The sequence below is a fragment of the Homo sapiens genome, chromosome 2, assembly GCF_000001405.40.
Source record: "Homo sapiens chromosome 2, GRCh38.p14 Primary Assembly".
In the NCBI taxonomy this organism is placed as follows: Eukaryota; Metazoa; Chordata; class Mammalia; order Primates; family Hominidae; genus Homo; species Homo sapiens.
In genome coordinates, this window is record NC_000002.12 from 147,843,053 (window position 1) to 147,857,053 (window position 14,001).

General features: G+C 38.9%; 1 protein-coding gene across 4 annotated transcripts in view, besides 4 other annotated features; it reads left to right on the top strand.

Moving 5' to 3' along the window:
• Positions 327-1,077: an enhancer, noted in NCBI's record as "NANOG-H3K27ac-H3K4me1 hESC enhancer chr2:148600948-148601698 (GRCh37/hg19 assembly coordinates)". NCBI's record gives its function as "activates a minimal SCP1, AML or CMV promoter by ChIP-STARR-seq in primed H9 embryonic stem cells {active_cell/tissue: H9 hESC(primed)}" and the evidence as "EXISTENCE:reporter gene assay evidence [ECO:0000049][PMID:30033119]".
• Positions 1,204-1,393: a silencer, noted in NCBI's record as "silent region_11995". NCBI's record gives its function as "represses an Ori minimal core promoter by ATAC-STARR-seq in GM12878 lymphoblastoid cells {active_cell/tissue: GM12878}" and the evidence as "EXISTENCE:reporter gene assay evidence [ECO:0000049][PMID:35858748]".
• Positions 1,465-14,001, top strand: part of ACVR2A (activin A receptor type 2A) — an 86,306-nt gene continuing 73,769 nt past the window's right edge. For 2 of the 4 annotated variants that reach the window (XM_047446292.1, NM_001278580.2), the window contains exon 1: positions 1,465-1,654. Coding sequence is in view for 2 of the 4 variants with exons in the window: in NM_001278579.2 (NP_001265508.1) it covers positions 2,101-2,155 (55 nt within the window). In the remaining 2 variants the exon portion in view is untranslated. Of the gene's footprint in view, positions 1,655-1,976; positions 2,156-14,001 lie in introns of those variants that run through there. The other 2 variants (NM_001278579.2, NM_001616.5) reach the window with 2 other exon arrangements.
• Positions 1,474-1,583: a silencer, noted in NCBI's record as "silent region_11996". NCBI's record gives its function as "represses an Ori minimal core promoter by ATAC-STARR-seq in GM12878 lymphoblastoid cells {active_cell/tissue: GM12878}" and the evidence as "EXISTENCE:reporter gene assay evidence [ECO:0000049][PMID:35858748]".
• Positions 2,339-2,418: a silencer, noted in NCBI's record as "silent region_11997". NCBI's record gives its function as "represses an Ori minimal core promoter by ATAC-STARR-seq in GM12878 lymphoblastoid cells {active_cell/tissue: GM12878}" and the evidence as "EXISTENCE:reporter gene assay evidence [ECO:0000049][PMID:35858748]".

Here is a 14,001-nt window from a genome sequence, read left to right on the forward strand (position 1 = left end):
ATAGACAGAAATACAGAGTAATTTAGAGGAAGTAAACTGCTGTAAATATAAGTGAGAAGACTTGGCTTTGTGGGAAAAGGTGGGAATCAGTAAACCACAAATGAAACATGAATTAGCCATATTATACAGTTGTTTTATTAAAAACCAAAACTTTGTAGAGTACATTAACAGAGACTGTATTTAAGAGAAAGGCAGTCATCCCTTAGTCATTTATACAATTATTTATTAAGCACTTATGTGCTAGTTGATACTTCTGGGTGCTGGAATAAAATAAGGAAAAAATCAAGATCTCTACCTTCACGAAGCTCACTAAAGTGTGGTAAATGACAGAGCAACTACCTTCAATAGTCTCTAGTTTGTATTCTGCAACCAACTGAATACAGCAAATACTAAAAGCTACTTGAGGTAGGGATCCATCCTATTTTTACCTGTTGGATCCCATTCCGTGCCTAGCACACCAGCTTGTAAGCAATCGACATGGATTAAGGGGTAAAAACAGGCCCTTAAATAGCTAAAATTTTGACAAGTAATCACTTGTCTGATCATCAAATATGTCGTTCGAAATCCTCATTTTTTTCTTCAAAGCGCAGTAAACAAGTATTTGCGCACCTATTACGTGCAAAACAGTTTTCAACACAATGCTTTGTGTGTAAAAGGAACGGCGGGAATGGATTCAAGTTGCGCATCGTGATAAATGGCGTGAATATCCTGAGCGGGTGGACAGCCCTTCCTCCGTGAGTTTTTTCTTTTTCTTTTCTAGTCACCAAGACAGCACGCGTGTGCAGAAGCTGCAGCGGTGGGACGCAGTGCTAAGTCTGGGGGCGCACACACCAGCTCGCGCGTCGCGAGCTCGCCTGGGCAGCTCGGCGGGCGCGGCGAAACAGCTCCCACGTCCGCCTTCCACCGACTCCTCGGTATCAGAGCGGACGAGGCGTCCCCCCAGAGGAAAGACTGGGCGCCGCAGACGCCCCTTGGAGAAGTCCCTGGCCACTCGCCCCACCTCGGGGTCCTCTTCCTCTTGGGCTTCTCCTGACCCTTTGGGTGGGCGCTCCAGACAGGCCCGTCGGACGCGATTTGGAAACGGGTCGTGCCCGGCCTAGCCCGCATCTACTCGCCCGGCCACAGCCCAGCCACAGCTTAGGGACTTTGAGGCGCCCGCGCCCCTTTGTCGCGGTATCTCTAGCCCAAGCAGGCCGGACGCCGAGGCCTCGCGGTATCGAGCCTCCGTCCGCCCCGCCTCCTCGCCCTCCACTCCGCCCCGCCCTCGCTCTCTCACCCCTCCCCCGCTCCCGCCTCGCTTCCCCGACAATCTCCTCGCGCTCCCGGCCCGGCACGCGCGCTGCGCCCGGCCGCCGCTGCCGCCGCCGCCGCCGCCGCCGCTGCCGCCGAGCGTTCCTCCGCTGCGCCTGGCTTCCAGCTTCGGGCCGGAACCGGAAGTTTGGGGGGCGGAGCCCGGCGGAGGCCAGGAGACCGAAAACGCGGCCGAGCCCGGAGCCCGGAGCTGGAGCCAGAGCCTGGACCAGAACTTGGCCGCCGCCTGCACCGCCGCCGCCGCTGCCGCCCGCCGCCCCTTCCCCGCGCCGCAGCCGCCTCGCCGCCACCGCCGCGAGCTCGGCCGCCAGTGGTCCTCGGACTTTAGGTGTCTGGGTTGAAGGTCGGTCCGGACATCGGACCCAGTCAGTTCCCAGACTGTCCGGGCGGCAGCGGACGCCGCTGCCGCCGCCGCCTCTTCGTCGCCTCAGCCTGGCGTTTTGTTCCGAGAGACGGGAGAGGCGAGCGGAGCTGACAGTGATTTTGACAGTGATTTAAACCCGCTTTTGTTGTTGTTGGCTTTTCGTTGTTTGGTTTTGTGTGTTGTGCGTGTGTGTGGCGGTTTTTCCCCCGTGGTGCATTTTATTTTTTATCGTTGTGCTCTTTTTTTTCTTTTTTTTTTTTAACCCAGTGAGCGTTTTTTTTTTTTTTTTTTTTTTTTTTTGGTCTGGGCTTCCGAATATGTTTTATGACGGTTGATTTTACACCAGGAGGTTTGTCTCCGAGGAAGACCCAGGGAACTGGATATCTAGCGAGAACTTCCTCCGGATTCCCCGGCGCCTCGGGAAAATGGGAGCTGCTGCAAAGTTGGCGTTTGCCGTCTTTCTTATCTCCTGTTCTTCAGGTAGGTGCAGGGAGCGCGGCGCGGTGGGGCTGCTCCTGCGGCCGCGGCGGCCGCTGCTGGGGGCCGCGGCTGGTGTTGAGTCGGAGAGTCCAGTGGAGCCTGGGGAGGTTGCCCACTCCCTGCGCCCCTCGGCTGCCACCGCCCCCCCCCCCCGCCCCCAGGTCTGATTGTGATCTGGAAACCTCCATGCATTTTTCTCTTTTTGAGTTGGGTCGGCGAGCTGATAAGAGTGAGTGCTGTGTTGTTGTGGAAGTGAGAAAGTCATGTTTTGTGGCCATAACACTGGATGACAGCGCTGGTTGGGTTGCAATTAAGCCGCAAATACCACAAGTGACAATTTATGCAAAGGTTGAGATCTGAAAGGAGTATTTAGTGTGGGCTCCTCCAAAACAAGGGTTGCTTTTTGTCATCGTTTAATTAGTGCTTCACCGGTGAATATCACGACATAGATCAAGCCAGTTGCTGCTTAATTTTGGCTGTGGGAAACAATACATCCTATCAGCAATTTAATCTGGGTCTCCCCTCACGTTTTCTTCAACTTCAGCGTCCAGCAGTGTTAAAAATAGTTGTAGTTGTTGTTGGAGTATTAACTATAACCCAGTGCAGAAGAGGTATGCCGCTTGGTATTGGTAATGTGCTGGCGTTCAACCACCATTTGTGTGCTCTTTTGGGGCATAGATTTTGCTTACCTACGGAATACTTATTTTAAACGCTTTGTATTGAAGCATTGTTTTCGGTTTAGAACAACCCATGTGAAATTGTTTTTGTTAAATATAGTACACTCATAAAATAGGTTTTAGCTCAAGGTTGGGGGAATAAACGGGCCATTTTATATTGGAAATTTTGATTTTGTGAGGACGTTCTATGGTTGCAACCAGTGGTTGGAAAAACTATCTAGTCTTTTGTATTTGAAATTCTATAAATAAATACAGCATCTAGCTGAAAGGTGTGCAGATGTACATAACAGGAGAGTTAGTTCAATAGATGAAACATTTTAAATAAGTCTCATTGGATCTATTTATTGTAAAATTTAATATTCAGTTACAAGCTTGTGGCATAGAATTACGGGGGACTCTTGGAAACGGGGGCGAATTGACAGGTTTCATGGCCATGTCTTTATCTCGTTTGCCACAGGAAAATTAAAGGGTGGTAGTCTTCTTTGTGTACCTCTGTGGGGTGTGTGTGTGTGTGTTTGTGTGTTTGTGTCCGTCTTCCCCACCCCCCTTTAAATATAATCTTTTGTAATGTATAGAATTTTGCTGAATGGTACATTTCCTTGTGGTTAATAAATGGATAAAGTCTAGTCTTATGTCTGTAGTGGTATTGATCAGTTCCGGGTGGGCTGAATGTGTTGTGAAATGGCGATCATTGCCAGAGATTAACCAAAAGAATCATGTCTGTTTAAATGGAAGAAGGAACATGCTTAAGGCAGGCTGACAGTTCTTTTTGTGCACGGTTTGGGAAGGAAGCTAAACAATGGTGTGTCTGAAATGAATGAAGGCCTTGATAACATTAAACCTCTTGCTTTTGTGACATGACTTAACCATGTAGTTTTTATCTTTCCAGTAGTACTCTTTTTTCCTCTGCTTCTATATGTTGTGGCTGGTGAACTCCTCTTGTTCAAATCCCTTGTTCTGATCTCTTGCCCTTGAGGAGGAGGGGCATCATGGCCACTGACCAAGGAATTGTGGACATTATTCCCTCTCAAACCCACCTGAGTCACACTAATTGATGAAGGAGGTTATTCTTGAGCAGTCTCAAGGTATTACTTCTTGAAAAGCAGGCTGTCGCTACAGATCTTACAGCTTCTTCTGCTTGGTTTGGTAGTAAAAATAATTGAGCATTAGTTTCTTGTGGGATTATTTTCATTGGGCCAGGATTATTTTCAGTGGGCCAGGAGGTTAATAGCTATAATTTTGAAATAAAGTGATTTTGTTGCTGTAGGGCATATAGATATTCCACTTATATTAAACTAATATTATGTTGTTGCATAGGCTTTTTAAGATGAACATTCCCAGTTGAACTAAAATATGTGATTCTGTTGAAGATAATTGAAATAATCATAAAGACCTTAATCCATATTTATACATGAACAATTTGAGTACTTAAAATGTCTGATTTTTAAAAGCCTTTTGTTATGGATCAGATGCACTCTAAAAAAGGATTATTATGTTTCTCCAACTAATTGATTTTTCTACAAAATGTGTGATCTGACATGTTGGAAGCATGAGGTGACTATTTTTATGAGAATTTTAAAAATTCTCAGGTTGTCAGTTTTTCATTTCTAGATATTTGATTTTTTTTAAAAATCAAAATGGGAAACAATAGTAAGGAACAGTTTTGTTCCAGGTGTTTAGGAGGGATGTTTACTATTTCGTGGACTCTGATTTTTCAGTTTCCATCCCATGGTATGTATTCTGGAGACTGATTATGCAGACTATTCCTGTAGGATATGGCCAAGTGTATAATTTCCTCCTCTCTCTCATTCCAGGGGAAACATTTTAAATTTTGCCCCTATCCTGGAGTGCCTTCAGATTACCTTTGATTTTGAATTTTTTCATTCCTCTCATACTTTCTCAGATTCTGTTTCAAAACATAAATCTTAGTTTTCTTTTTATAGCATTGTGGTTTATTTGTGTCTTTCCCCACAGTTTGTTGAAGTATGAGAATGACTTTAATACTTGCTTTAGTACTTAGATTTATCCTATCTAGAGTTATGCAGCTATTGTGGTATTTGAGTTGCATAGAAGTAAGTTGAGAATTCCTTTGGATTTTGTGGGAGCTGGAGCAGTATGGTCAATGTATTTGATGAAAGAGGAAATGGAAATATGGTAATTATGTTTTCTTCAGTTCAGCTAGGCAGTACTGTGTATGTGTGAATGTATGTGTGGTTGGAGGGGGAGTTAGCATTACAGAGAATCTTTTGGGATTCTTTTGAACTTTGATTAACAAGTGATGGATGATAAATACTTTGTTTTCTAAAAGGCAGAATCTCTTATAAATGGTGTCTGTGGTCAAATTCAAATATAATACATTGAAACATGGAGACTAGAAACAAAATGAAACAAAATTCTCCCTCCATTCATTTTCTATTTTTTTTTCCTGTTTATGATCTAAGCCAACAGTTCTCAAGCTGGGGTGAGTCCCCCTCCCTACTTCCCCAGATCCCCATCCATGGGACATTTGGAGACATTTTTGGTTGTCACAACAGGGGACGGGGTGTGCTACTGGCATCTAGTTGGGTAGAGGGCAGGGATGCTTCTAATCGTCCTAAAATACATGGTACAGCCTTCCACAACAAAGAGTTAGCTGGCTCAATATGTCAGTAGTGTAGAGGTCAAAAAACCCTGTTCTAAGAAAACCAAATACCACATGTTCCTATAAGTAGGAGCAAAATGATGAGAAAACATGAAAACAAAGAACAGAACAGCAGACACTGGGGTCTACTCAAGGATGGAGGGTGGGAGGAGGTAGATGAGCAGAAAAGATAACTATTGGGTACTGGACTTAATACCTGGGTAATGAAGTAATCTGCACAGCAAACCCCATTATACGAGTTTACCCATGTAACAGACCTTCACATGTACCCCCAAACCTAAAATACAAATTAAAAAAAAAGGAAAAACTCAGTTCTAAACTCTTAAATTTTAAAAGCAGTAGTTTATTAGTAAAAGGGCTCTGCTCTCTTCCCCCTAAAGTTAGTAATCTAAATTTTACAAGTACATGGTATTGATGATCTCCAGGTAACGTTGTATTGAAAGATTTTTATCTTTTCATTATCTTTTAAATTAGAATATGATTAAATTAGAGAAACAGACTATAGATACGCACATTCTTTCATCCTTGATGAAATGCTTGAGAATTCACCAGTATAGTATAATATTTTATACTATAATAAAATATTCCAATGACTTATGGATAAACTCTCCTATCACCGATTTTGATAGAGTGCTCATGAAGACTGCATGTTCCTGGACATAATGAATGATTGGTTAAGGTATCAAGTTTAATTATATTTGCTTTAGATCCAGGATTTTCTTTGCCATGATATGATCTTTAAGGATATTTGCCTTTATTTTTACTGACATCATTGGGCTGCCTTATGGCGGTATTCGTGTGTGTGTGTAACATGTTGCCTGAAATATGTTCACTATTACATGTTCCCTGAATAGTTTCAAGGTAGAAATTCTGTTTTTTTAAAAAAGATATTTCTTTTGTCTAGCTAACTTTAATTTCAAGAAACTTTTAACCTAATCTCTTAATTACATAATTATCTTGAGAATCACTAGCTGGGTTTTGGTTACCGTTAGACTAATTCATGATACAGTAAGTAATATTTTATGATCTATTGCAGATCGTTTCCCTTTTTAAGGCTAAATCTTGACCATAATTAATAAAATGCTTACCTTGTTTTGAACTCTGGTTTTAAGGGAGTTAACCTAGCCAACCAAGATAAGAATTACAGTGAAACTCTTAGCAAATTAAGGAGCATTATACCATAGAGAGGAAAATTCTGAAGTCATTCCCACAAATGGTGTCCAAATGAGCCTCACAGTGTCTTTGTAACACACCTCTCCATACCCTTCTCTCTGATACTGACATTTTCGCCTTTTGGGTCCACCAGACTCACTGTTCTTAAGAGAAGCACAACTAAACCAAATGAGATTTTAGTAATCTCTAAATTGTTTCTTTAGATTCCAAGACTTTATTTTGTTGCATTTTGACTTTTTAAAGTGCTACTATGATTTTCTCATCTTTGATATTTCATGAGTCCAATGATTTAAATTTGTGTTTTCATGGTCTGTTAAGTTGCCAGTTGCCATGTTGTCTCAGATTATAGGTAAGGTTGGCAACATTTGATACTAGGGGTCACTGGTATGCCTTAGCTTTTTGCTCACTGCTCTGTAACTCATTGTTTTTTCCATTCCCTTTCATTATTGTTCCCTTTCCATTTTCCTCCCTTCTTTGTCTACTCCCTTTTCTTCCCCTGACCCTTCTGTACTTCCTTATACTGCTTGCTTGTGGAACCCAGTTGTGGCTTAGCATCATGGGTGACTCCAGAGGGCTTACCCGTAGTTTTAATGAAAACAGATTGAATTTAGAATGCTTGAGAATTGACCAGATAGTCTTTTCCACTGTTTTTTCATTTACTGGTTTCTGGACTACCTCGCACACCCTCTTGGGAATAGTGTTACTCTCTTAGAATCAAATGGCTTGAACTTTAGATTGCTCTTATTCTCTTTTTTAATATTCAGGTTTTCCTTAACTCTTTGCTGCTTCAGAAAAAGTTTCGCTCATCTTATTATTCATTTATCATCTCTGTTTAAGCCAAAATTTGACTAGAACCAAGAGTATATTTATTGCTGCTGATAGGACCACATTAGACTTCCTCTGTGGTAGATTTAATTCTGTTAGATTGTAAAATAGTCATGTCTAGACAGAACATTGATTTCAAATTGACTATTGAACATGAAAATTCCAGGAATAGTGTATAGAGGAAGGAGGAGGAGGAGGAGAAATCAAGAAGGTAAGAAAACTACTGTAGATAGCAAGTGACTTTCTGTCATTCTCCACCTAGATTTCTTGTTAGTCACTTTTGTATACCCAGTGCATCTAGAGGTCAGGCTTTGTTTTAATAAAGGGACTTAAAGGAAATATGTTTTTGTCTCTGAGATTGGATTTTTTGAACTGTTAGAGTGGTGGACCTAAGGGAAAGAATTGGAAACTTCATATGGATAGTGATCAAGAATGTGGTCGTAGAGGTTGGTAGACTTGAGCTGTGGTGTCAGTGCTGCCAGTATCTAGCTTATGTATCATTTTCTGTTACTTGATTATTGTAGCACTTTTCTAGCTAAGATTCACCAGTTCCCTATCACTACTTCCTTTTCTTTCTAGTCCATCTGCATAGCTGCTGGAGTGATCTTATTAAAAAATAAATCTGAATATGTTACCCTTGCTTAAAACCTTTCACTGACTGTGAGTCACCTTTAGCATAGAATCTAAAGTCTTAGAATGTCATAAAAGGTCCTTCATCGTTTGGTTCCTGCCTATTTTTTCTAACCTCTTGGTATTGGTTAAGAGTATAGACTCTGGATATAGACCTAATTGGTTTAAATCTTGGTTTCATAACTTAACCTTGGTCAAGTTACTTCACCTTTGTGTGCCTCAGTTTTCTCATCTACACAATGGGGGGATATTAATAGTGCCTACCTCAGAGAGTGGTTTGAATATTAAATGCTAGTTATTCTGCTGCAGCTTCTCCTCAGCCTGAGTACTATATTCCATCCATACAGACTTGACTTGCAGTTTCTTAAATGTGTAATCCTTTATTGTATATCAGTATGGTGCCTTTGTACATATTACTCTTCCTCTTCTACCTGGCTAACCCCTTTTTGGTTTTAAGACTGAGAAGTATCACCTCTTTAGAAACATTTTCTCTGTCACTCAACCCAGATTGAGTTAGTTGCTTTCTGTTCATCTAACACCTTGTAAATGACCTTGATTTCAGTAATAATTGCAAATGTTTACTTGCCTGTTTCCACTTTAGACTGTGCAAATGTTTACTTTCCTGTTTCTACTCTTTGAAGACATCTTTCCTTTATCCACACACCCATTCCTGGAACCTGGTACACAATAGGTGCTCAGCAAATGTTTATTAAATGAATGAAATGAAATTATTTCACTTCTCTGAGCCACGGTTGTCCTCTTAATGTATTGAAGTGGTGAACTTGGATTAGATGATCCCTGATTTTTTTTCCTACTCTGAAAGCTTTATGGTTCTATAATTTTAAGGTTAGAGTTCAGTGGTGACATTTTATTAAGAAAAGATGATTTTGCTCATTGTTTTGATATCTTTAAGTTATGTTCAAATTTAAATTTTTTTAAATAATTAAAATTAGAATTTGAATTATATAGATTTAGAGGGGATCTTAGGTATCCTCATGTTCCATGGCTTTCATACTTTTTTGACTGTAATACACAATAGGAATTACACATTGCATTATGACTTAGTTCCCATGTAGTAGTAGGGGTGTATGTATATATGTCTGTGTGCATCAGAAATGAAAGTTTCATGAACTGTGTACTCTTAACTATGTGCAGGACACTTATGTATTTTTATATTACATTTCATTTAAAAAACATTGATCGTGACCCATTAATTGATTCATTGACCAACTAATGGATTGTAAATCCCTAAAACCAGTGACCTAGTTCAACAATCCTTATTTCCTGTATTCAGTACTCTCTTAGTGGAAAAGGAAGCTTCATATGTAAATGTGTGCAATGAAAAATATATGCACTGAAAAATATGGTCATTAATTAATCTACAATAGAGACTGTGTGCCTAGGTATAGAATATAGGGAAAACTGGTCTCAAGGGAGAACATGGCTCTTCCCTGATTAAGGTCTTCTCTCTTTTGGACTAGTCGAATAAATTAAGCACACACGAAGGCGCTGAAACAACATTAGATTGTAATTTTGGGGAGTTGGGATTTTTTAATTTAGGAAAGACTTGCTGGACTTAGTACTGGAAAAAAAGTCTTAGACGGAGATTAGGAAGGATGTTAATATGAAGGAAAAGACACAAAATAGCATCAGGAACACAATAGCCATTTGAGAGTAAACTTGACCATGGATGAAGGCAAGGTGGGATGGAGAAATTTTGACTAAATCTGAGGAAGAGATTTGTGTGATGAAGAGAGTTCACAATTGCTTGAAGAAGTAGGACAATCTCAGGGGGTTAACCCTTAAATTCAAATGAAAAGTAATTAAAACTGAGGAGGTAAGAGTGGATGATACATATCCTGATGTATGTCCCAAATACCCCATATGTGGATATAGGACTGAAAAGCAACTCGAAGACTAAGGTAGAATGGTAGCACTACTAAATAAAATTGGTAAGGAAGTAATGAGCCAGAGGAAAATTGAAAGTGCCTTCATAACTAAAAAAGTTTACAGATAGATATAGTTTTAGATGATAAGCATGAATAGAAATAAAGACATGTATTTGGAAAAATAAGAGTACATAATAAAACATGATAACGTAATATTCTCTTAAAGAGGCAGACACTGTATGATGGATATGTCTTCATTGTGAAGTCTAGTTAAAGAATTCTAAACATTAGTGGCTCAATATGTTGTTTATGTTTAAATGATGGTCAAATTTCAGTAATTACTCATACTGGTCATCCAGATTATATTCTTTGAAATCTGTATGAGACCCTACAGTAAAATACACTGTTCTAAGGAAGTAGATTTAGATGCTTTTCTGAATTTGGTATATGGTATTCACGCTTGAAACCTAAACTTTTCAGTGACCATTCTTTTGGACTAGTTTTTTCTTTGGTTGGCTGTAGTCACACTGGGAATTACTTTATTCTCTAATATTGCTAAAGAAAATAAATGTAAAGCAAGAAGAGAGTTACTACATTAGAAGGACTGGCTACACATGTGGGGAGGGGTTGCCTTTCAAAAGATTTTAAAAATGAATCAAGTCTTTACATATTGTAATAAAAGTAAGCCTATTTATAAAGCTTAGAGGGAGGAGTTTTCGTAGTTATGATTATTAACTTTAAAATTTTTATTTTAAAGGAAAAGTTTATTGTTCTTCCCATCTTCATAACTATATGTGATATATCAAGCTTGCTCCAAGGCATTATTTCAAGAGGAAGGGGCATGGACAAGTTATGAGATCTTGGCACATTTCTAAAACTCTGAGATTAACTTTTAAAATTTGTAAACCAAGATGTATTAAATGAATTGATAACTCCACATAACATGGTAGCTGGTCCAGAGTAGATCTTACATATTAGTTTTTAATCTATCTTTAAGTCCCATTTAAAAGGATATGGTATGTAAAACATTAAAAAATATAGATTTGGTTCTTGGGGGATATTTACATTTGCAGGTTACTTATCAGTCAGTTAATGTGAAATAATACTCTGACTAAATGATACAGCCAAAGAACATATCATTATAGAGAGCCAGATAGCTGCCAATAAATATCTAGAATATTCAGATATCGTGGTTCCTTACAAAGAGTTCTTTAAGGTCTCACTGTTTTAGCATGCATTAAAAAGAAACAATGGACTAAATCGTCTCTATTTATTAGTGGGAATTTAAAATATCTTTTTTTCTTGGACAACTTCTCTTAAACTTTTTAAGTGTTTTAAAACTTTTTAGTAGAAGTAAAGTTTTGAAAGATTCTCAAGTCTGTTTTTTAGGTACCAGCTACTTTAAGCTTTGAAAACACAAAGCTATTCAATGACTGTACTTTGAGATCAATATTTTGAATGTGGTATAATATTTTGGACTAAAACTTAAGAGTCTGTCATTCAAATTCCTACTTTCCTACTGACTCTTCTTTGACCTTTGACAGCCATTAAGATTTCACTTTACTCACCCTAAATTAAAGAGGGTGAAATAGGTATTCATTCACTTAACAAATCAATATTGAACTACATGCTAGACACTATGGTAAGTGCTTGGGATACATTATTAAACATGAAGACAGATATGATTATGCCTTTCTGAAGCTTATAGTCATAAAGTAAGTAGTCAAATGAACAACATAATTACAGATTGTCATACGTGCTCGGACAGAAACTAACAGGGTGCCGAGAGGATTACTCTTTATTTGCCTTATCACATATCACATCTGTTTACTTTATCTGCCTATTTCTTTTTTTTTTGAGACTGAGTCTCGCTCTGTTGGCCAGGCTGGAGTGCAGTGGTGCAATCTTGGCTTACCACAACCCCAGCCTTCCAGTTCAAGTGATTCTCCTGCCTCAGCCTCCTGAGTAACTGGGACTACAGGCATGCGCCACCATGCCTGGCTAATTTTTGTATTTTTGGTAGAGAGGGGGTTTAACCATGTTGGGCAGGCTGGTCTCGAACTCCTGTCTCAAGTGATCTGCCCTCCTTGGCCTCCCAAAGTGCTGGGATTACAGGTGTGAGCCACCGCGCCTGGCCTATTTCTTATTTGTCCTTTCTAATATTAGAATGTAAGCTCTACTGGGGTGGGGAAGGGTGTGACTTTTTCTTAATACTTCCAATGCATGGCACAGTTTCTGGCACAGAGGCGAAGCTCAGTGAATATTTAACTAGCTGCCTGAAGCAATGAATGCAGTGATGGGACTGGAGAGATAGGGACAGGATCATGCAGGTCTTTGATGTAACAGGGGAAGGAGTTAGAATAAAATGCAAATGGCAGTGTGAAGCAAAGAGTTTTAAGGAAGAGCAGATCTGGGTTATGTGTTGAGATCACTTTGGCAGCTATCTGAAAAACATACTGGAAGAGTGTAGGAGGGAAGAGGTGAGACCATTAGGAACCTGTTGCATCAGTGTAAGCTAGAGAGACTCTCCTAGATCCCTTCCAGCTTTGAACATTCTCTGATTGTATTGTAAAGCTTGCCTACACTTATCAGTCTTCCTTTTGTATCTTATTTTAGTCATCTTATTTTTTTTCCTACTTGTCATTGCTTAAAAAAAAAACATGAATGGATAGGCTTCTTGTGCATATGTGAACTTTGAATACAAATTCTCAGAAAAAAGAAATAATGAAACGCAGACTAGAGGTTATTGAATTTTTGTAACAAATTTCTATCTTTAGATTTTGTACATTTGCTAATTTATATATATTCTTATTTAAGCATTCCTATTTCTCTCTGAAATTGGCTTTACTCCTTTTCAGGTGTCTATTTTTTTCATAAGCTTACCACCTCTTTATTGTTTCAGATGTAATATACTATATTGTTGGTATGGTTGAAGATTCAGAAGTAGAAACTCAGTGTATTTTATATCTTAATTCTTAGAAATTTGATATCTTTTCAGGTTATCAAGGTCTTACAATAAAGGCTGAAAGGATGAATACTTAATACTTTAGGCTATTAGTTTTACTCAGGGCTGCAGCCTCTAACTCTAGGTATTCAGCTTGAATGTTTTTATCTGGAAAGATTTCAATCCTCTCCTGTTGGTGGTAAAGAGGTGGTGCTTGGCACAGGGAAATAAGCTCTTTATTATGGCAGAAGTTCAGCTGTAGCATCTGTGCCTAGGAAAAACTGCATTATTACACACAGGTAAAACCAGAAGAGATGTTAAACTTTACTGAATTTAAAAAATATAATGGTGCCTGCCTCTTTTCATCTGGTTTCACTTGGATTTTTTCATTTTGGAAGCAGATAAAGCTAACCATCTTTGATAAGCCACCTTCTATAAAGTTCAGTTTTACCCTATAAATACTATAGGTCATTTTATTTATTATTACCTTAAGTAAAATAGTTCTAGAAGAAGAACTGGATGCTAGGCCTTTCTTTTACCTGGTAGTGGAGTTTCATACTTCAGGATTAGTGAATACAGTTTGCTAATTAATTTTATATAACCTAAGACTCAAAATGAACTTGTAATAATTACTAAAATTATATGAGGAGAAATGAAAAGTCAATGAGTAAATGAGGACGATGATAAATAATGAATAATTGCAAGATAACATATACAAGACGGATATGGTAATAGTAAAGCAATTTGATTAGTGGGCATTCAAAGTAGAATAAAACACCTTTCTGAATGGCCAGAAAAATGGTTGAATAGCCACTGACCATCTTTTTAATTCTATATTATATAACAAATCTTTCTTGGTAATCTTTACTTATTTTCCTCCTCAGTTCTTTAGAGATACATATACTTGGTTTGGGTGTTGAATTAGGAAATTAATTGCTAATTGTAGTTTTTGTTAAAATGTAAATAGAGATTGCTTATTAGCTGAGAGGGTTAGAAATAATAGAGGAAATTAAATTAGCAAGCTTTTACTGCTGGGAGGGCCTAACAAACTGTCAGGTACTATTTTC